The sequence below is a fragment of the Homo sapiens genome, chromosome 6 (assembly GCF_000001405.40).
Source record: "Homo sapiens chromosome 6, GRCh38.p14 Primary Assembly".
NCBI lineage: Eukaryota > Metazoa > Chordata > Mammalia > Primates > Hominidae > Homo > Homo sapiens.
This window is the reverse complement of record NC_000006.12, coordinates 119030466-119054494: the sequence shown is the minus strand read 5'-3', so window position 1 is coordinate 119054494 and position 24029 is coordinate 119030466. Positions and strand designations below refer to the sequence as shown.

Here is a 24029-nt window from a genome sequence, read left to right as displayed (position 1 = left end):
CTTCCCTTATAAAAGAGGTCCAAGGGAGCTTATTTGCCACTTCTGCCATGTGAGAACACATAGAAGGCACCATCACTACGGAACAGGCCCTTGCCACCCAGTCTGCTGATGATCTTGGACTTTCCAGCCTCTGGAACTGTAAGAGATAAATTTCTGTTGTTTATAAGCTACCTAGTTTATGGTATTTTTGTTATAGCAGCCCAAACAGACTAAAACAATTCTGAATTATTGTATATAATTGCTAAGCTAGCGTGATTCATTTTGATTGTAATTCAGTCATTTATTTCAGCTTCCCTTTTAGGGTTACATACAGTGTTTTCGTTTTCTGTAAAAAATAGTGGAGATGGGATAGTAGAAAGATAAATGTATTGGGAAGGTTGTCATTAAATTATATATGATTTTTTTTTTTCTCTAAAGGATTTGAATGTTGAGAACTTTAAGGTTTTTTCTTAAAACTTCATTACATTAACTTCATATCCTTTTATTATGGCACTGAGATTTTCTCAGTAGGGAGCACATCGTAATATTCGTCTCATTAAACTATGTGTAGTGCCTGCTGAGAAGTAGATTGGGACTTGAAAATGTTTATCACCATAGGAAACAACAGAAAAGTATTTTAAAACACAGACGCTTCTCTAAGAATTCTGTTTGGGATAATACTACTCTGTTTCAGAATTCTTAAAAACAGGTTGGCATAATATTCTAATAACTGAATTAATTTTATTGGCCCTTATCTTTGTATTTAGTAAAGCAGGTGGTTGTCAATCATTTTTCCACTCAGTTACCTCCCTTTGTGGGTGTGTGGGTGGCCATAGGATGGAGAATGGGAATGAATGTGTAGTCTTTTTAAAGGGCCACTTAGTGATTCTTATACTACATCCTACCTCTACCCTAAATTGAAAATATTGCCATAGTGATCAAAAGGTATTAATGGAAGTGTAATATCCCCTTGGTCATTGGGCAGAAAAGTGGTTAAGCACAATTGGCGTTAGGCTGTTACATAGAGAAATTTGGGGTGATGTGTTTTTAGATGTGCCTGCTTTGCTGGGAAGATAGGACCTAAGAACAGAGCTATAAACACAGGAGTCAGAGGTGCCTGAGTTATAATAGCCCATTCCAGCTCAGGTTTATCTGAAATAGCAGGTCACTGTCTGGGGGGTATGTGAGTAATTTCAGTTAGCAGGTGCTGTACAAGTCCTCTATAACTTGTAAAGTATAAACCTTGATTGAAGATAGAATGAAGTTTGTAGAGGTGCATGACCTCATTAACAGACTCAACAACTGAGAGAGGGCACCTCTCCCCTAACTTTCAAGCAACCACCAGCTTCCCTTGCTGAGTGTATGTATGACCCAAATAGCTCTTCAGTCAGGTATCAGTTCTCCAGCCCAAGGTTTGTGTTAGGAAGCACAGGGCTCTTTTCCTGAGGTATTTCGATGCCTTTGGCTGTTCTTTAATCAAATCTCATCTAATACATCCTCCACAGTGCAACCAGAATTTTAATTTCTAAAATGCAAGTCAGATCAAGTTATTCCTCTACTTAAATCCCTTCACTGGTTCTACATTACCTACAAAGAAAGGAGTGTTTACTGAATTTGGCACAATGTTATAACTTGACTGTTAGATGATTCATTATATTGGGGTACCTTCCTTTAAGACAACTCAGTGTATTTAGAAATTCAAATTCCTTATGTGTTTTGCACAAAGCCTCTACCTATACAGCTTGTGTGATACTGGCCTCTTTCAGCTAGTGCTGCTTCCTCTCCTGCCTCTGGTGGTTGGTTGTTGATTCATTTGGTGAAAGTGGCTGCCAGCTTAAATCAGGAGTGGGAATCAGATCAGATACAACTCTGAAGGCCACAGAGAAGAGTTTGACTTTTTTCCTCCTGTACATGTGTGGTGGGAAACCATCGGCAGGCTGCAAGCAAGGGTTCTGTTATGATTTATGTTTTGAGATGACCACTTTGGCTACTGATTCAGGAATGAATTGTGGCACAGCATGAGGGGAAGCCGAAAGATCAGTTAGGAGACTACTACAATGGTCCTAGGCCTAATGCCAGATGGTGGTGGCTTGCATTAGGGTGGTTGTGATGGAAATAGAGGTAAGTGCAGACATCATGATGTATTTTGGAAGTAGAACTGTTAGGATCTAATAATGACTTTGTGGTAGGAGGAGGGGAAGAGTACATAATGGAGGAACTCTTAGGTAACATATTTGTATCTTTTCATTCTTTCACAGTACATTTAGGTGTGAAAGGAAGAAATGAAGAAAAAAATAGAATGTAGGTGTCTATATCCAAAATAGCTAATTGAAATTATTTTCAGTCTTTGAATTATGCTTGAGTTAGGTAACTAATTTAGGAATTACAGGAGAATGTGTGATTGGCAGAACATTAGGTCCATTCAAGGACTGACATAATAGAGATCACTATGTGAGAGACTGCAGTCGTACCTCAGGAGATGTTCAGGGAGTCTGCACCCCAGCTCAGGACCTGAGTCTCATACATAGATACTGCTGTCTGGGAACCTGGGCCTCCAATGGCTGCTGACTCTGAAGGCTCTGGCTTTTCAAAGAGGATTTCTCACCAAATACAACCAGAGTCTACAGTGCTTATTTTCTGTTGCATAAAATAATCTTCCAGTCTTACCTGACTCACCTCATTAACTTTTATTAATTTCCAAGTTCTTATTCAAAAACCTGTATTTGAGTCCTGCGATCAGACAAGATAACACATTATAGCCCTCTTATTTTACCTCTTACTTTACCTCTCAAACCAATAGCAGGATATTCTTTTTTTTCTTTTTTGGCAAGATACTCTCTTTTTAAAAAAAAATTTTGTGGGTACATAGTACTCGTATATATTTATGGGGTATATGAGATGTTTTGATGCAATATGAAATAAGCATGTCAATGAAAATGGAGTATCTATTCTCTCAAGCATTTATCCTTTGAGTTACAAACAATCCAATTATAGTCTTTATTTTAAAATATACAATTAAGTTATTGACTATAGTTATCCTACTGTGCTATCAAATAGTAAGTCTTATTCATTTTTTTCTTTTGGTACCCATTAACCATCCCTCCTTCTTCCTAACACCCCACTACCCTCTCCAGCCTCTAGTAACCATCATTCTACCCTCTATGTCCATGAGTTCAATTGTTTTGATTTTTAGATCCCACAAATAAGTGAGAACACGTAGTGTTTTGTCTTTGTGTGCCTGGTTTATTTCACTTAACCTAATGATCTCCAGTTCCATCCATGTTGTTGTAGATGACTGAGTCTCATTCTTTTTTATGGCTGAATTGTATTCCATTGTGTACATGTACCACATTTTCTTTTTTTAAACTTTTATTTTAGGTTCAGGTGTACATGTGTGAGTTTGTTATGTAGGTAATCTCATGTCACAGGTGTTTGTTGTACAACTTACTTCATCACCCAGGTGTTAAGCCTAGTACCCAACAGTTATTTTTTCTGCTCCTTTCCCTCCTCCCACCCTCCACTCTCAGGTAGGCCCCAGCGTTCCCTTCTTTGTGTTCATGAGTTCTCATCATTTAGCTCCCATTTATAAGTGAAAACCTGCGATATTTGGTTTTCTTTTCCTGAGTTAGTTTGCAAGGATAGTAATAGCCTCCAGCTCTATCCATATTCTTGCAAAAGACATGATCTCTTTTTTTTTTTTTTTTGAGACGGAGTCTCGCTCTGTCGCCCAGGCCGGACTGCGGACTGCAGTGGCGCAATCTCGGCTCACTGCAAGCTCCGCTTCCCGGGTTCACGCCATTCTCCTGCCTCAACCTCCCGAGTAGCTGGGACTACAGCGCCCGCCACCGCGCCCGGCTAATTTTTTGTATTTTTAGTAGAGACGGGGTTTCACCTTGTTAGCCAGGATGGTCTCGATCTCCTGACCTCATGATCCACCCGCCTCAGCCTCCCAAAGTGCTGGGATTACAGGCGTGAGCCACCGCGCCCGGCCTATGATCTCATTTTTTTTTTATGGCTGCATAGTGTTCTGTGGTGTATATGTACCCTTTTTTTAAAAAAAAAACCCAATCTGTCATTAATGGGCACTTAAGCTGATTCCATGTCTTTGCTATTGTGAATAGTGCCGCAGTGAACATTCGTCTGCATGTGTCTTTATGGTGGAATGATTTATATTCCTCTGGGTATATACCCAGTAATGGGATTGCTGGGTCAAATGGTAGTTCTGTTTTTAGCTCTTTGAGGAATTGCCACACTGCTTTCCACAATGGTTGAACTAATTAACACTCCCACCAGCAATGTATAAGTGTTCCCTTTTCTCTGTAACCTCACTAGCATTTGTTGTTTTTTGACTTTTTAATAATTGCCATTCTGACTGGTGTGAGATGGTATCTCATTGTGGTTTTGACTTGCATTTCTCTCATGATCAGTGATATTGACCTTTCTTTCGTATGCTGGTTCACTGCATGTATGTCTTCTTTGGAAAAGTGTCTGTTCATGTCCTTTGTCCACTTTTTAATGGGGTTGTTTTTGTCCTGTACATTTAAGTTCCTTATAGATGCTGGATATTAGATCTTTGTCAGATGCATAGTTTGCAAGAATTTTCTCCCATTCTGTAGGTTGCTTGTTCACTCTAATGATAGTTTCTTTTGCTGTGCAGAAGCTCTTTAGCTTAATTAGATCCCACTTGTCAATTTTGGCTTTTGTCGTGATTGTTTTTGGTGTCCTTGTCATGGAACCTTTGCCCATTCCTGTGTCCTGAATGGTATTGCCTAGGTTATCTTCCAGAGTTTTTATAGTTTTGGGTTTTACATTTAAGACTTTAATCCATCTTGAGTTGATTTTTGTATATGGTGTAAGGAAGGGGTCCAATTCCAATCTTCTACATATGGCTAGCCAGTTATCCCAGCACCATTTATTGAGTAGGGAATGTTTTCCCCATTGCTTGTTTTTGTCAGCTTTGTCAAAGATTAGATGGTCATAGGTATGTGGTCTTGTTTCTGGACTCTCTATTCTGTTCCATTGGTCTATGTGCCTGTTTTGTTTTGTTTTGTTTTTATTTTATTTTTTGAGACAAAGTGTCGCTCTTATCCCCCAGGCTGGGGTGCAATGGCACCATCTTGGCTCACTGCAATCTCTGCCTCCCAGGTTCAAGTGATTCTCCTGCCTCAGCCTCCCAAGTAGCTGGGACTATAGGTGCCCGCCACCACGCCCGGGTAATTTTTGTATTTTTAGTAGAGATGGGGTTTTACCATGTTGGCCAGGCTGGTCTCGAACTCCTGACCTCAGGTGATCCGCCTGTCTTGGCCTCCCAAAGGGCTGGGATTACAGGCGTGAGCCACCGCGCCTGGCGTATGTGTCTGTTTTTGTACCAGGATCATGCTGTTTTGGTTACTGTAGCCCTGTAGTATAGTTTGAAGTCAAGTAATGTGATGGATCCAGCTTTGTCCTTTTTGCTTAGGATTGCCTTGGCTATATGGGCTCTTTTTTGGTTCCATATGAATTTTAAAATAGTTTTTTGTAGTTCTGTGAAGAATATCATTGGTAGTTGGATTGGAATAGCATTGAATCTGTAAATTGCTTTGGTCAGTATGGCCATTTTAATGATATTGATTCTTTGTATCCATGAGCATGGGATGTGTTCTCATTTGTTTGTGTCATCTCTGATTTCTTTGAGCAGTGTTTTGTAATTCTTGTTGTGGAGATCTTTCAACCAGTCCCCCACTACCATCCCCCATTATCCCATTACCCTTCCCAGCCTCTGGTAACCATCATTCTACTCTCTGTGTCCATGAGTTCAATTGTATTGATTTTTAGATCTACAAATAAGTGAGAACGGGATGTTTTGTGTACAGGTATTCTTAGGTATTTTATTCTTTTTGTGGCAATTGTGAACGGAATTGCCTTCCTGGTTTGTCTCTTAGCTTGGCTGTTGTTGGTGTATAGGAATGCTAGTGATTTTTGTACATCGATTTTGTATCCTGAAACTTTGCTGAAGTTGTTTATCAGCTGAAGGAGCTTTTGGCCCGAGACTATGGGGTTTTCTATATATAGAATCATGTCATCTGCAAACAGGGATAGTTTGACTTCTTCTCTTTCTATTTGGATGCCCTTTATTTCTTTCTCTTGTGTGATTGCTCTGGCTAAGACTTCCAATTCTGTGTTGAATAAGAGTGGTGAGAGAGGGCATCCTTGTCTTGTGCTGGTTTTCAAGGGAAATGCTTCCAGCTTTTGCCCATTCAGTATGATGTTGGCTGTGGGTTTGTCATAGATGGTTATTATTATTTTGAGGTATGTTCCTTCAATATCTTGTTTACTGAGTTTTTTTCACATGAAGGGATGTTGAATTTTATCAAAAGCCTTTCTGCATCTATTGAGACAATCATGTGGCTTTTGTCTTTAGTTCTGTTTATGTGATGAATCACATTTGTTCACTTGGGTATGTTGAACTAACCTTCCATCCCGGAGATGAAGACTACTTGATCATGATGGATTAGCTTTTTGATATGCTGCTGGATTTGGTTTGCAAGTATTTTGTTAAGGATTTTTGCACTGGTGTTCATCAAGGATATTGGCCTGAAGTTTTCTTTTTTTCTGTGTGTGTCTCTGCTAGGTTTTGGTATCAGACTAATGCTGGCCTTATAGAATGTGTTGGGGAGGAGTCCTTCCTCCTCAATTTTATGGAATAGTTTCAGTAGGAATGGTACCAGCTCTTTGTTTTATATCTGGTAGAATTTGGCCGTGAATCCATATGATCCTGGGCTTTTTTTGGTTTTTAGGCTATTTATTACTGATTTAATTTTGGAGCTCATTATTGATCTGTTCAGGGAATCAATTTCTTCCTGGTTCAGTCTTGGGAGAGTGTATGTGTCCAGGAATTTGTCCATCTCTTCTAGGTTTTCTAGTTTGTGTGCACAGAGGTGTTCGTAGTAGTTTCTGATGGCTGTTTTTATTTCTGTGGGATCAGTGGTAACGTCCCCTTCATCTTTGCAATTGTGTACGACATTTTCTTTATCCATTCATCTGTTGATGGACACGTAGGTTACTTCCAAATCTTAACTATTATAACCGGTGCTGCAACAAACATAAGGGTATAGATATCTCTTTGATATACTGATTTCCTCTCTTTTGGGTACATACCCAGCAGTGGGATTGCTGGATCATATAGTAGTTTAATTTCTAGTTTTTTGAGGAACCTCCAAACTGCCCTTCATAGTGATTGTACTCATTTACATTCCCATCCATAGTGTACAAGGGTTCCCTTTTCTCCATATCCTTGCCAGCATTTGTTACTGCCTGTCTTTTAGATATAAGCCATTTTAACTGGAATGAGATGATATCTCATTGTAGTTTTGATTTGCATTTCTCTGATAATCAATAATGTTGAGCACTTTTTTATATGCCTGTTTGCCATTTGTATGTCTTCTGTTGAGAAATGTCTATTTAAATCTTATGCCCATTTTTTTATCAGATTATTAGATTTTTTTCCTGTAGCGTTTTTTGAGCTTTTATGTATTCTGGTTATTAATCCCTTGTCAGATGGGTAGTTTGCAAATATTTTCTACTCTGTGGGTTGTCTCTTCACTTGGTTGATTATATCCTTTGCTGTGCAGAAGCTTTTTACCTTGATGTAATCCCATTTGTTCATTTTTGCTTTGGTTGCCTTGGTGCAGGATATTCTTAAAAATAGATTCCACGATCTTGTGGATGCTATGATATACCATATAATGGTTATAGCGGTAGTTGCTCCTAAGATCTGCTCTGCATTCCTGGCCATTCAGGGGTATGTATTAGCAAGACTGTGGTGTCATATGGCCTTTTCCAAATACTAAAGAAATGTTAGTCATAATTGACTTTACTTGATATACAGCACAAAGAATTCATGCTTTTGATGACAGGAAATTGCATGGGCATAGTAAAAATTATGGTGTATTTTTGCATAGTTTTTTTTTTTATTTGGTAGGTATAACAATCACTACAAAATTGGTCGTTTGAAGATCAACTTGGTGTAGTTAACTTTTTAAAGCATACCTTTTCAGGCCGAGGCAGGTGGATCACCTGAGGCTAGGAGTTTGAGACCAGCCTGGCCAACATTGTGAAACCCTGTCTCTACTAAAAATACAAACCTTAGCTGGGTGTGGTTGCGCTTGTCTGTACTTGTCAGCTACTTGGGAGGCTGAGTCAGGAGGATCGCTTGAACCCAGGAGGCAGAGATTGCAGTGAGCCTAGATCATGCCACTGCACTCCAGCCTGGGCAACAAAGCTAGACTCTGTCTCAAAAAAAAAAAAAAAGGTATACATTTTCTATCATGACCACAACTTTTATCTTACTTACCAATTCCAAATACTTGGTGTGATTTTAAATTTTTCTTTGTATTTCATTCCCTATATCCAACCTCTTATTAGGTTCTGTTACAAGGTGAGATATGGAAAAAAGATAACAGTTGTAATAAGATAAAGGATGGAATGTTTTTCCTTATTCCTTTTGTTTTTAATATATTATCCAAATTTTCTACAATGAATAGTGATTACTTTAGTAATCAGGGAATATATAGTACATATACTTTTCCTAAGCATCATTTTCAATAGGGATATGACAAAAGGAGGACATTCCAGGGAGATCACTAGTAATGGCAAAGGTGTAGAGAAAAAGAAGCATAATTAGTTCTTAAATATTTATTAACTTCCCTAATCCAGATTTTTGCAATATAAATTTTTTTTAATTGGCTTTATTGTATTTAAGAAGAAATTTTGTCTGAATTGAGCATGAAAATATAGGAAATCTTTGTTATTGCAGCTTTGAGTATTTGTTGCTCTTATTAGTAATTTCACTGTGGTGCATTTTGCATCTTCTATCTGTATATGAGGCAGGCAGGCAGTCTGGTCTCGCCATTTTTGTATCCTACCCTACATCCCCTCTCCACTGTTCTTCTGCCTCTTTCAATTCCAAAGTTCAGTCACCAAGAAGAAAAATCTGCTGTTAAGTCACTGCTCCAAGGTTGCTTTGTGGGTGATTTTTTCTCCAAGGTTGTAATGCCAAAATGCATTTTTCAGAGGCCTGCATGTGACCTTGAGCCAGCCCTAGGTGATGGTTATGTCATCTGCACATCGGGTAGGTTTAAGAAGGACAATTAGAAAACAAGTGTTTAAAAGAAGAGTCTAGCTCCTATTAGGGTCTCTTTCCTTGATATACGTAGATGAATAGAATGGCAAAAAAAAAAAAAAAATTGAGAAACTGATAGTTATACTGTTTTAGCAGGTAGAGGAAAACAGCCTTCCTTTTCTCATTTATTTTTATCAATATACCAGAGGTTTCCCAGCTTCTTTGATATGACCATAGAGCAGTGAACTAGATGAGTAGATGAGGGAAGGAATGTCACTTTTGGCTTCACTTCCCTTCTGCCTAAGAATATCAGCAATCCTTGAATGGATGAAGGGGCAAAAGGTTGGAGAACCCATAAGAAATGCTTTGAGAGCAAGCGTAGGTTGTATTTACAGCATTCCAAATTAGAAGAGATCGCTAGAATTGTGTTCCTTGCTCAACATATTTGGTGCATGTTTACCTGTGTAATGTACAGAGCCAGGTACAGACCAACTCCATAAATTTTGGAAGAAAATAAAGCACTCTAATTCCTAATCACCACATACCTTAATGATATCAGTAGCTGTCACTCTCTAGAGGACTCCAACATAGATGAGATAAACTAAGAGTTATACCCAGTTCCCAGTGTATTGGCCATTAAGGCTTTCCTTTTCTTCACGTTTACAAACTTCAGTCTCTATTAACATTAAATTATTTGGGGCATGTAAGTCACAGCATCAGTAGTACCCAGGTAATTGGAATTGTTTTCTTAATTTTTTTTTTCAAAGTGTTCATTGCTTCATTGATAGTTTATAATTGATGTGTGTTGATCTTTTTTTTTTTTTAATTAAAGAGAGACAAGTTCTCGCTTTGTTACCCAGGCTGAAATGCAGTGACAAGATCATAGCTTACTATGCCCTTGAACTCCTAGGCTAAAGCAATCTGGCCACCTCAGCCTGCCGAGTAACTAGGACTCTAAGTGCATACCACCACACCCAGCTAACTTTTAAATTTTTCGTAGAGACAGACTCTTGCTTTGTTGCCTAGGCTAGTCTTGAATTCCTGGTCTCAAGTGATTCTTGTGCCTCAGAGACCTAAGGCTTCTAAATCTTCTGCAAATTTGCTGAATTCGTTTATTAGCTCGAATAGTTTTTTGTTGATCATTTGAGATTTTGTAGATTAAAAAAATTGTATCATCTGCAAATAATGATAGTTTTACTTCCCCAATTTGGATGCCTTATATTTCTTTTTCTTGCATAATTGCTCTAGCTAGGACATCCAGTGCAATGTTAATAGTGGTAAAAGTGTGATTCTCCTTTGTCTTAATCAGTCTAAGGCTTGTCAATTTTGTTGATCATTTTAAAAAATCAACTTTTGGTTTCATTGGTTCTCTCTACTGTTTTCTATTCTCTGTTTCATTTATACCTACTCTAATCTTTATTGTTTTCTTCCTTCTGTTTTGGGTTTCATTTACTCTTCCTTTTCTGGTTCTTTGAGGTGTGAATTTAGGTTATTGATTTGAGTTCTTTCTTTTTCAGTGTAGTTTATAACTACTCAATTATGCCAGTATAATGGGAAGGCAGCCATAGACAATACATAAATGAAAAGGCATACCTGTGTTCCTTTATTTACAAAACAGGTTGCAGACCACTGTTTGAGCTGCATCCTACAAGTTTTGATACATTTTGTTTTCATTTACATCCAATGGCTTCCTGCCCATTCTCCCAAAGAGTTTTTCTTTTTTTCTCTTTCCCCAGCCTCACTAGGTTATCACATTTGCCCTGGGGCTAAAGGTGCCGAGGTGGGGCAGGGGTAGAAAAAGAGGGTTTGTTGCCCTTACCCTAGTAGCTTATGGCTTTTGTTCCTTAGATGAGAAGGATCTGGGTAGTTTTTGTGCTTTCCCTGCAGTGGGAGGCCTGTTTCTCTGAGCAAAGCTTTCTCTGTCTCCTACCCAGTAAACAGTTTTTCTTGTGACTACCCACTGAGGTCATAGAAAAGAGACTATGAGTAGGCAAACTTGATTGTGTCTGTGGCTTCCCTGGGTTCCATTTTCTCACACTTGCCCATGTTCTTACCTTGAGCAATTTTTAGTAAATTTTTGCTGAATTCTTACCCACTTATGTGACCTTCTCATTTTCCTTCTGTGCTCTGCCACAGGTGAGCCAATGCCTGTGTCCTGTCTGTCCTTGGAGGCTTTTCTTAGAGTGAAAGCCAGTTGGTTGCATTGTGATCTCAGCTTTCTGATAGGTTCATGAAAATTGATGAATTTATAGGTTATTTCATAGTCATTAGGTAGAACATTGCTCCATTTATATTTCTACATTCTAGGTGGAAACTGGAACCCCATCAGATTTATTTTTAATAAATTGAACACACCCAAATGTCAATGTGAATAGATATTTAATTTTCTTCAGAGAATTCTTTAATCTGCTGCCTGACTCTTGGCATTCAGAATTTGGGCAGGTGTGGGGAGAACTCGGGACACATTGTTCAGGATGCAGATTTTTGAAAAATAGACTTTACTCTTTTAGAGCAATTTTTAGTTTCACAGCAAAGTTGAGCAGAAAGTACAGAGTTCCCATCCCCTTTTCTCCAACACACATGGCCTCCCTGACTGTCAGCATCGTGTAGTAGAGTGATATGTTAGAATCATTAGACCTACATTGACACATCATTATCACCCAAAGTCCATCATTATTACCTAAAGTCCATGGTTTACATTAGGATTTGTTCTTGATGTTGTACATCCTAGGGATTTTGACAAATGTATAATGACATGTGTTCACCATTGTGGTATTATATAGAATAGTTCCACTGCCCTAAAAATCCTCTGTGCTCTTGTTAGCAGTGGAAGAGATCTGAATTACCCCAAATTATTGGTGGTGAATCCATATGGGTCCACGGCAACTTCAGTCTTTGCCTCCTCAAAAGAAAGAATTCAACTGAGGGGCATAAAGCAAAAAAAAGAGACCCAGGCAAGTTCCAGACTAAGAATGGAAGTTTAGAAGTAATTTCCTCCCAGTTTATTTTGAAGCCAAGTAGTTTAAAGTTTGGGGAAATTAAACTTCCCAGTTTTGGGGAATGCATCCGAGGAACATGCCCTGCAGTGTGGACACATGATTACCCATCTGCCACTTGTGAAGAGAGAACAGAGGAGAAGAAAAAGGAAAAAGAAGGCATTCCCCCTTTCTTCCCATTATCCTGGATGAGGCATCCCCCATCGTCCTGGGTTCCAGGCTTTACCGATCTTACCATGTACCCCCGGTTCTGGGTTCTGGGCTTAACCAGTCTTACCATATTCCCCTAGTTCTGGGTTCCAGGCTTAACTGGTCTTGCCATGTACCGTCAGTTCTGGGTTCCGGGCTTAACCAGTCTTAACGGGTACCCTTGGTCCTGTTACCAGGGGGTCCTTGTTCCCAGAGCTCCCAAGATGGTGGCGGGCCGCTTCCAAGATGGTGGCAAGCCTCGTGTTCTCTGACCTGGGGTTCTTAGCCTCACGGATTCCAAGGAATGGAATCTTGGGCCATGCGGTGAGTGTTATACCTCTATTAGAAGCCGTGGGTCATGGAAGAGAACCGTGGAACCCAGCAACTAGTGTTCAGCTCGATTAGGACGAACCCGGGCACTTAGCCGTGCAGGACCAATGGCAAGCCTTTAGCCCGATCCAGAGTGGCAGTGGGCACCTCACTGGATCAGGAGCACAGTGGACACCCTGCCGGATCCGGAGGGGTGGAAGTCAGCGGCGGGTCTGCGAAGGTGACAAACAGCAGTGGGGAACTGGGAGTGAAAGCTCAGCTCTAGCCGTAACAAACACGGACCAGAAGAGTGCAGCTGCAAGATTTAATAGAGTGAAAACAGAGCTCCCATACAAAGGGAGGGGACCCAAAGAGGGTAGCGGTTGCCAGCTGGAATGTCTGGGTTTATATCCTGATCATTGTCCCTCCCGCTGTGCTCTCAGGCGATAGATGATTGGCTATTTCTTTACTTACTGTTTTTGTCTAATTAGCATTTTAGTGAGCGCTCTTTACTACCTGATTGGCCGAGTGTGAGCTAAGTTGCAAGCCCCGTGTTTAAAGGTGGATGCGCTCACCTTCCCAGCTGGGTTTAGGGATTCTTAGTCAGCCTGGGAAATCCAGCTAGTCTTGTCTCTCAGTCCCATCTCATCATAATTTTAGCTTGGGACCACCCTTCATCTCTGTCCCGTGGATCTCTTGTGTCTGCGGCCTTGGGCTGGCCTTGTCGCCACGACCTTATAGTAACCCTCACTTGGAGTATTTTAGTAATAAAATGATCATGTCTTTTCTTAGAAGCTTATTTCTCCATTAACTGCTACAGGGGCTGGAATTCTCTCCCCTAGAATATGACTTTGAAGGCCCTGTTGCCTGTTGAGAAGGGTGTGGAAGTAGTTCAAGAAATGGGAGCTAAAGGAGGAAGTGGAAGGAACACGCATGGAAACCCCTCAAATGCTTGCAAAAACAGCAGCCCTTGGATTCAAGAGTGCAACATTTGTTCACCTTCTGGAACAAAAGTTCAAACATAAATCAGTAACCCCTGAGGACTTGCGGCTTGGGGTAAGAATTTCTCCACCTCCTAAAGTGGTGCTAACTTAAAAAGCAAGTGGGTGGAGTCCTTAAAAAGGGCCAGATTGAAGGTCTGTGCAGGTGGACAAGCAGCTTTTAAGAGCCATTAGAAAACTTAGCCCCGGGATATAACAGGAACAAAAAGCACTTGGTGAGTTATGAAAAGCCAGCAAAGCCAGAGTTCCAATTCGTATTTGTCCCGGAAAAGAGCCGATTTTAGTTGAAAAAGCAGAGGAAGCCCGAGACATTACATGGTTTAGGCTTTAGCCCCACCATTTGTGCAAGGCTCCTGTCAAGAAGGGCCATATAATGCCTTAGATATGCTCAGTACAGACCCTAAAGTCCCTGCCACCCTTGCAAGCCACCCGGCAAGGTGACCTGAGAAATCAGCTGGGCGGAGCAGAGTCACTCTGGCCAAGAGGAATTACTCTGGGGAATTTGTTAGTAAGCAGGAAAGAGAGGAAAAGCCATGCATGTGGGTCAGATGCCTCCAGCTGAAGAAGGTGAGGCATAGAAATCTCTTACCACTAGGAAGGTATCCAAGTCACGGCAACAAATATGTTAGTGGTGGAAGAGATCTGAGGTACCCCGAGTTACCGGCGGCAAATCCATACGGGTCCACAGCAACTTCAGTCTTTGCCTCCTCAGAAGAAAGAATTCAACTGAGGGGCATAAAGCAGAAAAACAGACTGAGGCAAGTTCCAGAGCAGGAATGGAAATTTATTTAAAAGGCCTTAGAACAAGGTGCACTTGGAAGAGACCCACGCAGGCATATGAAGATTAAAGAGAGAAGGTCGAGTCCCCGTTTAACCTGATGCTAGGACTTTTATAGGCTCACCTTTTTCCCATGATTTTTCCCTAAGGGTGGGCTGCCTGCATGTGCAGAGCACGCGTAGTGTGTTTAGGGAGTTATACACATGCCCATCTGAGGCTTTCTTCCTTTTTCCAGTGTAGCGTACCCAGAAGATACTTTGCCATTTTTGTCTCTTAATCTGCATGTCCAGGAAGTTGCATCTCCCTGGGGCCTGCATCCAATTAACGTTTTGATGTTAACAGGTGTGGACCATCAAGAAATGGCCTGTCCCTGGTGCTGCTGAATTATCATTTTTAGAGAGGCAGTGTGATAATTGCCAAACCATCACCTGACATTTCTAGTGGGGGGTGGGGCAGAGCCCTGTCCAGCCCCAGTCTTGCCTAGCTATGATACCTGTAACACTGCCTATTCCTTCCTCCCTCTCCTCAACCCCTGGCAACTACTGATCTATTTACTATCTTCATACTTCTGCCTTTTCTAGAATGTCATGTAATTGGGATCATACAATATGTAGCTTTTTCAATTTGGCTTCTTTTACTTAACAATATGCATTTAAGATTTCTTCATGTTTTCCCATGGCTTGATCGTTCATTTCTTTTTATCTCTGAATAATATTCCATCGTCTGGATCAGTTTATCCATTCACCTACTGAAGGACGCCTTACTTTTGAGATTTGGCACTTTTGAATAAAGCTGCTATAAACATCTGTGTGCCAGTTTTTGTATGGACATATATTTTTAACTCATTTGAGTAAATACCAATTCCTGGATTGTATGATAAGAATGTGTTTAGTTTTATAAGAAACCGCTCAACTATCTTCCAAAATGTCTACAATATTCTCACAAGCAATAAATGAGAGTTCTTGCTGCTCCATATTCTCATCAGCATTTGCTGTTGTCAGTGTGTTGGGTTTTGGCCTAGATCTAATATGTGTGTCGTGACATCTTACTATTTTAATATGCAAATCATTATTGATGTTAAGCATATTTTCATATACTTATTTGCCATGTATGTATCTTTTTTGGTGAGGTATTTATTGAGATATTTTGCCCATTTAAAAATCAGATTACTCATTTTCTTATTGTTGAGTTGTAAGTGTTCTTTGTACATTTTGGTTAAGTCCTTTATCTTTTGCAAATATTTTCTCCCAGTCTGTGGCTTGTGAGTTTTTTCACTGAATCCCTCTGCTTTTTGTACTCATCCCTGACCTCCTCTTGTTACAGGAAAGGGGTCCCGATCCAGACCCCAAGAGAGGGTTCCTGGATCTCGCTCAAGAAAGAATTCAGGGCCGGTCCGTAGTGCAAAGCGAAAACAAGTATATTAAGAAAGTAAAGAAATAAAATAATGGCTACTCCATAGACAGAGCAGCCCTGAGGGCTGCTGGTTGCCCATTTTTATGGTTATTTCTTGATGATATGCTAAACAAGGGATGGATTATTTATGCCTCCTCTTTTCAGACCATATAGGGTAACTTCCTGACGTTGCCATGGCATTTATAAACTGTCATGGCGCTGGTGGGAGTGTTGCAGTGAGGACAGCCAGAGGTCACTCTCCTGGCCATTTTGGTTTTGGTGGGTTTTAGCTGACTCCTTTACTGCAACCTGTTTTATCAGCAAGGTCTTTGTGACCTGTCTTTTGTCATGACCTCCTATCTCATCCTGTGACTTAGAATGCCTTAGCAATCTGAGAATGCAGCCCAGTAGGTTTCAGCCTCATTTTACTCAGCTCCTATTTAAGATGAAGTTGCTCAGGTTCAATTGCCTCTGACACTCTGTGTCCAGCATCCCCAAGCCTACAGTTTCTTTAGCTCATTTTCTCTATTTGTTTGTTTGTTTATTTTTTTTACTAGTGTAGGAGAGATTACTGTCCTGTCTGCTTGATTCAGGTGACAGCTGGGGGTTTAACTGCCCTTTGCAAACTAGAAAACAACCTCCTGTTATCAGCCTCTTATCTCGGCTCCCCACCTGCTCCTCTTGTGTTTCTAGGGCTGTGCTGGACAAGTCAAATTTCTTCTTAGTGATTTTTCTCTCTCTCAACACTAAGGTTTTACCTTCTTGTATTCTGACAAATTATTTCGTATTTCCTCATTTGCTTTCTGTCCTCACATATTGAGATTCAGGTAAAGATGCCTCGTAGATAAAACTTTATCCAAGATAAGAGTTTACCTTTTTCTTATTTTCTTTTTTGCTTTGGACTGCTTTTCAAGAAGAGAAAAAGGTAGTTTTTGACTTCATTTTCTTGCTTGTTGATTTTCTAAAGTAAAATTTTGAAGGTTGAAACTTATCAGTGTCTTCTGTAGTATAAAACGCAAAAAGAAATGGCTTTGCCAATGCTTAGCAAATATTATTTTTACGTATTCTAAATTAAGTTATACTACCACAATTAACCTATGTGACTGTTATTTTATTATTAATTTTTCTTTTTTATTTGTTATTGGATGTTGTCATTTTTTATTCCAAAGGGCAAAACACAGTTTTGGTGTTGCCATCTCATTCAAGAATATTGATGGTGTTTGTATTGGTTAGATAGCAAACAGTGAAGGCATGTTATCAGAATAAACCAATGAACTATTATCAAAGCCAGGTGTAGTGGCACATGCTTGTAGTCCCAGCTACTCAGGAGGCTGTGGCAATAGATCACTTGAGCCCAGGAGTTCAAGGCCCAGCCTGGGCAACATAGTGAAGCCCTGTCTCTTAAAAAACTTAAAAACAAACAACAACAACAAAAAAACCCCTCACAACTGCTATCCTTTTGTCCTGCTGTCAAACTATGATATTTAATTGACTGTAAGATGAACCCTGATTTAAGAAATGTTCAAATGTGAAAGAAAAAAATCTGTCTTAGAACCATTGCCTAGTACCATTGTAGGCATACAAACAGAAAAATATACAGAGATTCTAAATCTTAAAATTACTATAAAGACACTTTTTCCAGTTAAATTTCAGGGACAAATTAATAACTAGGAAGTTTTTAACTTTAACTGACATTCCATGGCACTCATTCTCTCAGTGTCCAGGATTATTGGGCCACACCAACCACAAAAATCATTCACATTTTGTGCCTTAACTGAAGTTGCTTTCCTCGTAGTTCTTGACAACTGACTTTGCCCTTTTATGCCTTTCTAATTACTGCAATCTTTATCCAGTTCTTTCTACTGAAAACTTATTATGCCATGTCACAGTATTCTGTACTATACAGCTTGACACTTAATATATATTATCTAAAAATTGTCTGCCATTATATTTTATGCCAAAATAAAAATATGTTTTATTTTGAGCAGGTCTATTTTGAGAAAGATTAAGAACATTCATACTTTTCTTTGCCAGAATGCATATAAAAAAGTACTGAGCATTCACAAAATGTTTGTTGTTTTGATTTTTGTTGTTGTTGAAGTATGGTAGCACAGATCCCATTGCACAGATCCTGAATCATAGCTGTATAGTAGGACTTCTGCTTGCTGTTTGAGAATTCAAGTTAAATCTGGGGAAACAGATGTATTCCACATTACCATACACAAAGATACCTCCAACATTATTAGACTTTATCAATATTTTCCAAAAGATTTCCCAGCAATAATTATAGAATCATACAGCGAGGAAATATATCTTTAAAGACAATTTCCCAATGCAATTGGATTTTAAAGTTCTTTTAAAATTAGAGTTTTATAGTGCCCTTGGCTTAAGTAAAATCCAAATGAGCTCCTTTTGTGAACTGTCTTGTAAATGTTTCATTTGGACACACATCTGTTGCTGACATTCATTTGATTACATAATGTACGAAGAATGGCTTTTGTCTTTTGATTTTCCTTTCTAGTTAAAAAAAAAAAGACACTGGACCGAGGGGAAAAAAAGACGTGAATCATTTATGGGGCTGAACTATTCTGTGTAGGTAGCATTTGTTCCCATTCTATTCACGTTGAACTCCAGATCTTCAGTGCATCTCTCTAGTAGATCCTGTTCTAGTCATTAATAGGAAATAGATAAGTGACTCAATATTTTATATTAATATGGTGTCAACGAAAAGAGTCAAACTCTGTAAAATATTTGAAAAGATGTATTCTGAGCCAAATATGAGTGACCAATGTCCCCTGACATAGCTCCAGGAGATCCTGAGAACATATGCCCAAGGTGGTCGGGCTATAGCTTGGTTTTATACATTTTAGGGTGGCATAAAACATAAATCAGTACACGTAAGATGTACGTTTGTTCCATTGGGAAAGGTGCGACAACTTGAAAGGAGGGTGACAGGGTGGGGGTTTCTGGTCATAGGTGGATTCAAAAAAAATTTTTTTTGGCAGCTGGTTAAAAGCGTTGTTACCTAAAGACCTAGGAGTGTCTGGGTTAAGATAAGGTTGTGGAGACGAAGGTTTTATCATGCAGATGAAGCCTCCAGGTGGCAGGCTTCAGAGCTCTTATCAGACCTAAAAAGATACCAGACTCTTAGTTAATTCTCTCCCGGATCAGGGAGAACACCTGGAAAGGGAGGGGGATTCTCCACACAATGTAGATTTTCCCCACAAGAGACAGTTTTGCAGGGCCATTTCAAAATATGTCAAATAAATATATTTTGGAGTGAAATACTTCAGTTTCTTTCAGGGCTTGCTGTGCGTCCTGTAAACCTGGCTGGAATTTGGTGTCTTATTGCTACAAAAAGTCTGGTTCATCAGTCTTAAAATCATTGTTTTAATGTTAATTCTTGTCAGCTGTCCCTGAATTCCAGTGGGAGGAGGGTATAATGAGGTATGTGTGACCCCCTCTTCCTATCATAGCCTGAACTAGTTTATCAGGTTAACTTTGGAATGCTCTTGGCCAAGAGGAGGAGTCCATTCAGTTCTTTGGGGAACTTGGAATTTTATTTTTGGTTTACAGTGGGTTAAAAGGTTTTGTTAAAATCCTCTTTAAATGTCTAACCGGCCAGTTGCTTTTTCTTCCACTCTCACAGCCTTTTAAAAAAAATCCTTCCGTAGTTGTGAACAGTCTAATTCTGACCTTTGGCTCACAAACTCCACTCAGGAAAAGAAAGGACATGTGGTCCACAGAGACAGCTGTTATTACTCAGGCGAGCCCTCCTAAAGGGCTTGCCACACAGGAGTACGTTGGTTTGTCTTAGGGACTAAACCTTTTGTAAACAAAATTCATTTTCTAATATTTTTTCTTATCTCTTAATACTGAGTCGGACATTACAGAAGAAGAACACTAGTTTAGCATAGGGTTGGGGGAAAGGTAGTATAGGAAAAGCCCACTGATGAAATGTGCCCTGATAATGTATTAGATACTGTAAGCAGTGGTAGGTAGGATGGATTGAGAAGCCACAATGTAAGATTTCCACAAAGAGAAACTTGACATTAAAAACCTATAAAATAAAGACTATAAAAATATATGCATTCTAGAAAATATCCAGCCTAGGCTCTCTAAAAAATGTTAATATGATGAAATAAAAAAACAAAAAGCAAAGGTTTTTTTAAAAAAAAAAAAAACTATATATTAAAACAGACAAAGAATATGACGACTCAATACAATGTGGGATCCTTGACTGGATCTTCATTGACAAAGAAAAGCTATTGTAGATTTCACTATTGGCATAATTTGGTGAATTTAAATATAGGCTCTGTGTTAGATAATATTCTATTAAGTTAAATTTCCTGGGAATAATAATGCTACTGTCTTTGATCTTATGAAACAATGTACTAAGATATTTAGTGATGGGTTCTGATAGCTGCAACTTATTTTCAAATGATTCAGAAAAAAGAAAATTCATGCATATGTATATACAAATGCTTGGTGGTGAAAGAGTTTGGGATTTTTCTTTCTAACATTCACTTTGCACTAAGCGATACTCTATGAGTTTTGGTTCTTGCTTTTTTCTTTAGAATGTATGTTCGTTTATGATCTCCTCATTTTAATATTTTTTCTTTCATCTACCTCATTTTATTAGCCTGAGGTACTTGGGACTATTTCTTGGATTTAACTCTCTCTCTCTCTCTCTCTCTCTCTCTCTCTCTATATATATATATATATATATATTTTTTTTTTTTTTTTTTTTTTTTTTTTTTGAGACAGAGTCTCACTCTGTCACTCAGGCTGGAGTGCAGTGGCATGATCTCGGCTCACTGCAGCCTCTGCCTCCCAGGACAAGCAATTCTCCTGCCTCAGCCTCCTGGGTAGCTGGGATTACAGACGCGTGCCACCATGTCTGACTAATTTTTGTACTTTTAGTAGAGATGGGGTTTTGCCATGTTGGCCAGGCTGGACTTGAACTCCTAGCCTCAGGTGATCCACCCATCTGGGCCTCCCAAAGTCCTGGGATTACAGGTGTGAGCCACCGCAGTGGCCTAATTCTGTAACTTCTTTAGTTTCTTTCTTTCTTTTTTTTTTTTTTGAGACGGAGTCTCACTCTGTCGTCCGGGCTGGAGTGCAGCGGCATAATCTTGGCTCACTGCAACCTCCACCTCCTGGGTACAAGCGATTCTCCGGCCTCAGCCTCCTGAGTAGCTGGGAATACAGGCACCTGCCACTACGCCCAGATAATTTTTTGTATTTTTAGTAGAGACGGGGTTTCACCATGTTGACCAGGCTGGTCTTGAACTCCTGACCTCATGATTTGACCACCTTGGCCTCCCAAAGTGCTGGAATTACAGGCGTGAGCCACCGCACCTGGCCTTTTCTTATGTTGCAGTGATTGATCCTGTCATCCAGATAATTTAGGTAGCATAAATGTGTGCTGTTATTGATCACCAGTAAAATAGGTAAGAAAATATGGAAGGATTTGTGCAATTTCATCACCTCCGAAGCAAGCCAGTTTTAAAAACATTTTATTAACATGCCCTTATACAGTAAGGATGACATATTGAGATGTGGTGCTAATACCCCGGCTCCAAACAGTGACCCATTTTATAGAAACATAAGATTCCCTTAGTAAGCTACTTAGGGCTCATCAGGAATATTTAATAATTTTTTTAATAAATTGGATAATTTGCAAAAAAATTATATTTATAAGGCTGGTCTGGGAGTACCATTGAATATAAATTGAGGTACAGAGGTTTAGTGTATGTTCCTGCTCTGGAACCGATAGAATAGCCTCTGGCAGAAGGAAGTAACCCACTGTTTTTGAGAAGTTTGAGAGTTTTCAATATTCTTTAACTCTGATGTCTTATGGCTCAAGTAACCTTTTGGTGATTAGCTCAACTAGAAGAATTGAAGATTTAATAATACAAACATTCTCTTTGTTTAAAATGTACCAGATCTATTTTTAAACAATTACTGAATCCGAGATTACTCTTTTATTAACTTGGTAAGCTACCTTTTGCCTCATGTAGTGGTTATGTATTCTGAGGGAGAGTCTTTTCCCACCCTTTTTCTTCCCTTCCCTTTCCACCTCCCTGCTCCCTCCCTTCCTCTTTTCCTCCCTTCCTCCTCCTCCTCCCCCTCCCTCTCCCCCCTCTTCTCCTGCTCTTCTCCTCCTCTTCCTCCTCTTCCTTCTCCTTCTCCTTCTCTTCCCTCTCCCTCTCCCTCTCCCTCTTCCTCTTCCTCTCCCTCTTCCCTCTCCCTCTCCCCCTCCCCCACCCCCTCCCTGGTCTGGAAGGGATAGAGAAGCAGTATCCAGAATTTAATAGTAAAAAAATGAGACTGAGACTGGCAGTCACTGTTAACTTATTAAAAAGGTCTAATATTTTCTGATTATAATAGGAACATACATTCATTATAGAATGTGTAGAAATACTGAAATCTCATCGGTAAAAATTTGGTTTATTTCTTTTCTTTTTTTTTTTGTTTTGAGACAGAGTTACTTTGTTGCCCAGGTTGGAGTGCAGTAGCATGATCTTGGCTCACTGCAACCTCCGCCTCTCAGGTTCAAGCAATTCTTCTGCCTCAGCCTCCCAAGTGTCTGGGATTATAGGCACGTACCACCATGCCCAGCTAATTTTTGTATTTTTAGTAAAGATAGGGTTTCGCCATGTTGGCCAGGCTGGTCTTGAACTCCTGATCTCAGGTAATCCGCCCACCTAGGCCTCCCGAAGTGCTGGTATTACAGGAGTGAGCCATCGTGCCAGGCCTGGTTTATTTCTTTACATATCTATATCTATATATCTGTACTCACTTTTTCCTCCTGTAAAATGGGATCTTATTGTATGTAACGTTGTATACTTGCCTTATATCATTTTTTCTTATATTGTGAAATACTCTTCCAAATGAAATGTGCTTTTGATGGTTTCATGGTATTACACTGTATGAATATACCATCATTTATTCAGTGATTCCCTTACCTTAGCAATGTTAAGCCTGTTGGTGTAATATGCAACAATTAAGGTCCAGTTAAAATGTTTTACATTACTAAGCTAATATATATCACTTTAGTGAATGTATGTTATTACAAATGTGCTTTATTACTCTTTCAGTGAATTTATCTTATGACTAATGAGTTAGATTTTAATGGGAACGTATTTACATATTGCCAAGATATTATTCAGCTTGAGCTGCCATAATGTAATAACCTGGACTGAGTGGCTCAAACAATAAAAATTTATTTCTTACAGTCTGGGAGCTGGGAAGTCCAAGATCAAGGTAGCAGCCAATTCAGTTCCACAGTGAGCGCTCTGTTCCTGGCTTGCAGGTGGTCACCTTCTTGATGTGTCGTCACACTACAGAGAGAGAGCAGAGGCAGTCTCTCTGGTGTCTCTTCATGTAATAGCACCAGTCCCAGAATGAGGGCTCCACTTTGTTGGTCTCATCTAAACCTAATTACCTCCCAAAGGTCCCGTCTCCAAATACCATCATATTGGGCGTTAGGGCTTCAACATAAGAATTTTTGAGGTAGGCAATTTGGTCCAGAGCAGGCATAAATGAGGACTATTTCAGAAACTTCTTATTTTACCTAAGTATCATGTTAAACCTAGGATCTAGAATTGTTCACATTTTACCTGGGGGAAAGATTATCTGATTTATCATAGGAAAAAAAAGATTTATCATAGGAAAAGTAAAAATTACTATTGCTTATTCATCATGAAATACATAGTTAAAAGTAAAAGATTTATAGGAAAAGTAAAAATTACTATTGCTTATTCATCATTAAATACGTAGTTAAATTATGCATCATTGGCATAAAACGGAACTATGAAATGTTACATAGTTCATAAAATGAACTATGAAATTGCTGAAATGATTCCTATACTATTCCATCCCATGAATGTTCATAGTTCCATAAAAAGTGCAAATGTTTCTTAATGTCTTTTAAAGTACTTTATGAAAAGAGACTTTAAGAGAGTTTTTTTTTCTATTTGTAAAAAAATAGCCAATTTTATGGGTGATTATGATCATTTACTAAAGTTCCTTTTAAAATTAGTCTCACCCTCTCCATAAATAAATAATACAACTAATAAGGAAGTCTTACCATGTTTTAGTGCCTTACATATATATTTTTAAATAGTTACATAACATCAATTTTTGAAATTTCAGTGATCAGTTGATCTTATATCAATGGTGCTGCTAAGGTAGATAATATGATCTTTATTTAATATTTGAGAAACTCAAAGCTTGAAGAAATTAAGTGATTTTATCTAGTGTCAAACCTTTGTTATATC

General features: G+C 39.2%; 1 protein-coding gene and 1 long non-coding RNA gene across 4 annotated transcripts in view, besides 1 other annotated feature; one reads left to right on the top strand and one right to left on the bottom strand.

The window, feature by feature from the left end:
- The window catches only part of FAM184A (family with sequence similarity 184 member A), a 189366-nt gene that overhangs the window by 94634 nt on the left and 70703 nt on the right, over positions 1-24029 (top strand). The window lies entirely within an intron of this gene.
- Positions 13100-13991: an enhancer, noted in NCBI's record as "H3K27ac-H3K4me1 hESC enhancer chr6:119361669-119362560 (GRCh37/hg19 assembly coordinates)". NCBI's record gives its function as "activates a minimal SCP1, AML or CMV promoter by ChIP-STARR-seq in primed H9 embryonic stem cells {active_cell/tissue: H9 hESC(primed)}" and the evidence as "EXISTENCE:reporter gene assay evidence [ECO:0000049][PMID:30033119]".
- The window catches only part of LOC124901389 (uncharacterized), a 96627-nt gene continuing 95551 nt past the window's right edge, over positions 22954-24029 (bottom strand). The window contains exon 2 of the long non-coding RNA XR_007059729.1: positions 22954-23090. This is a non-coding gene — a long non-coding RNA (uncharacterized LOC124901389). The remainder of the gene's footprint in view (positions 23091-24029) is intronic.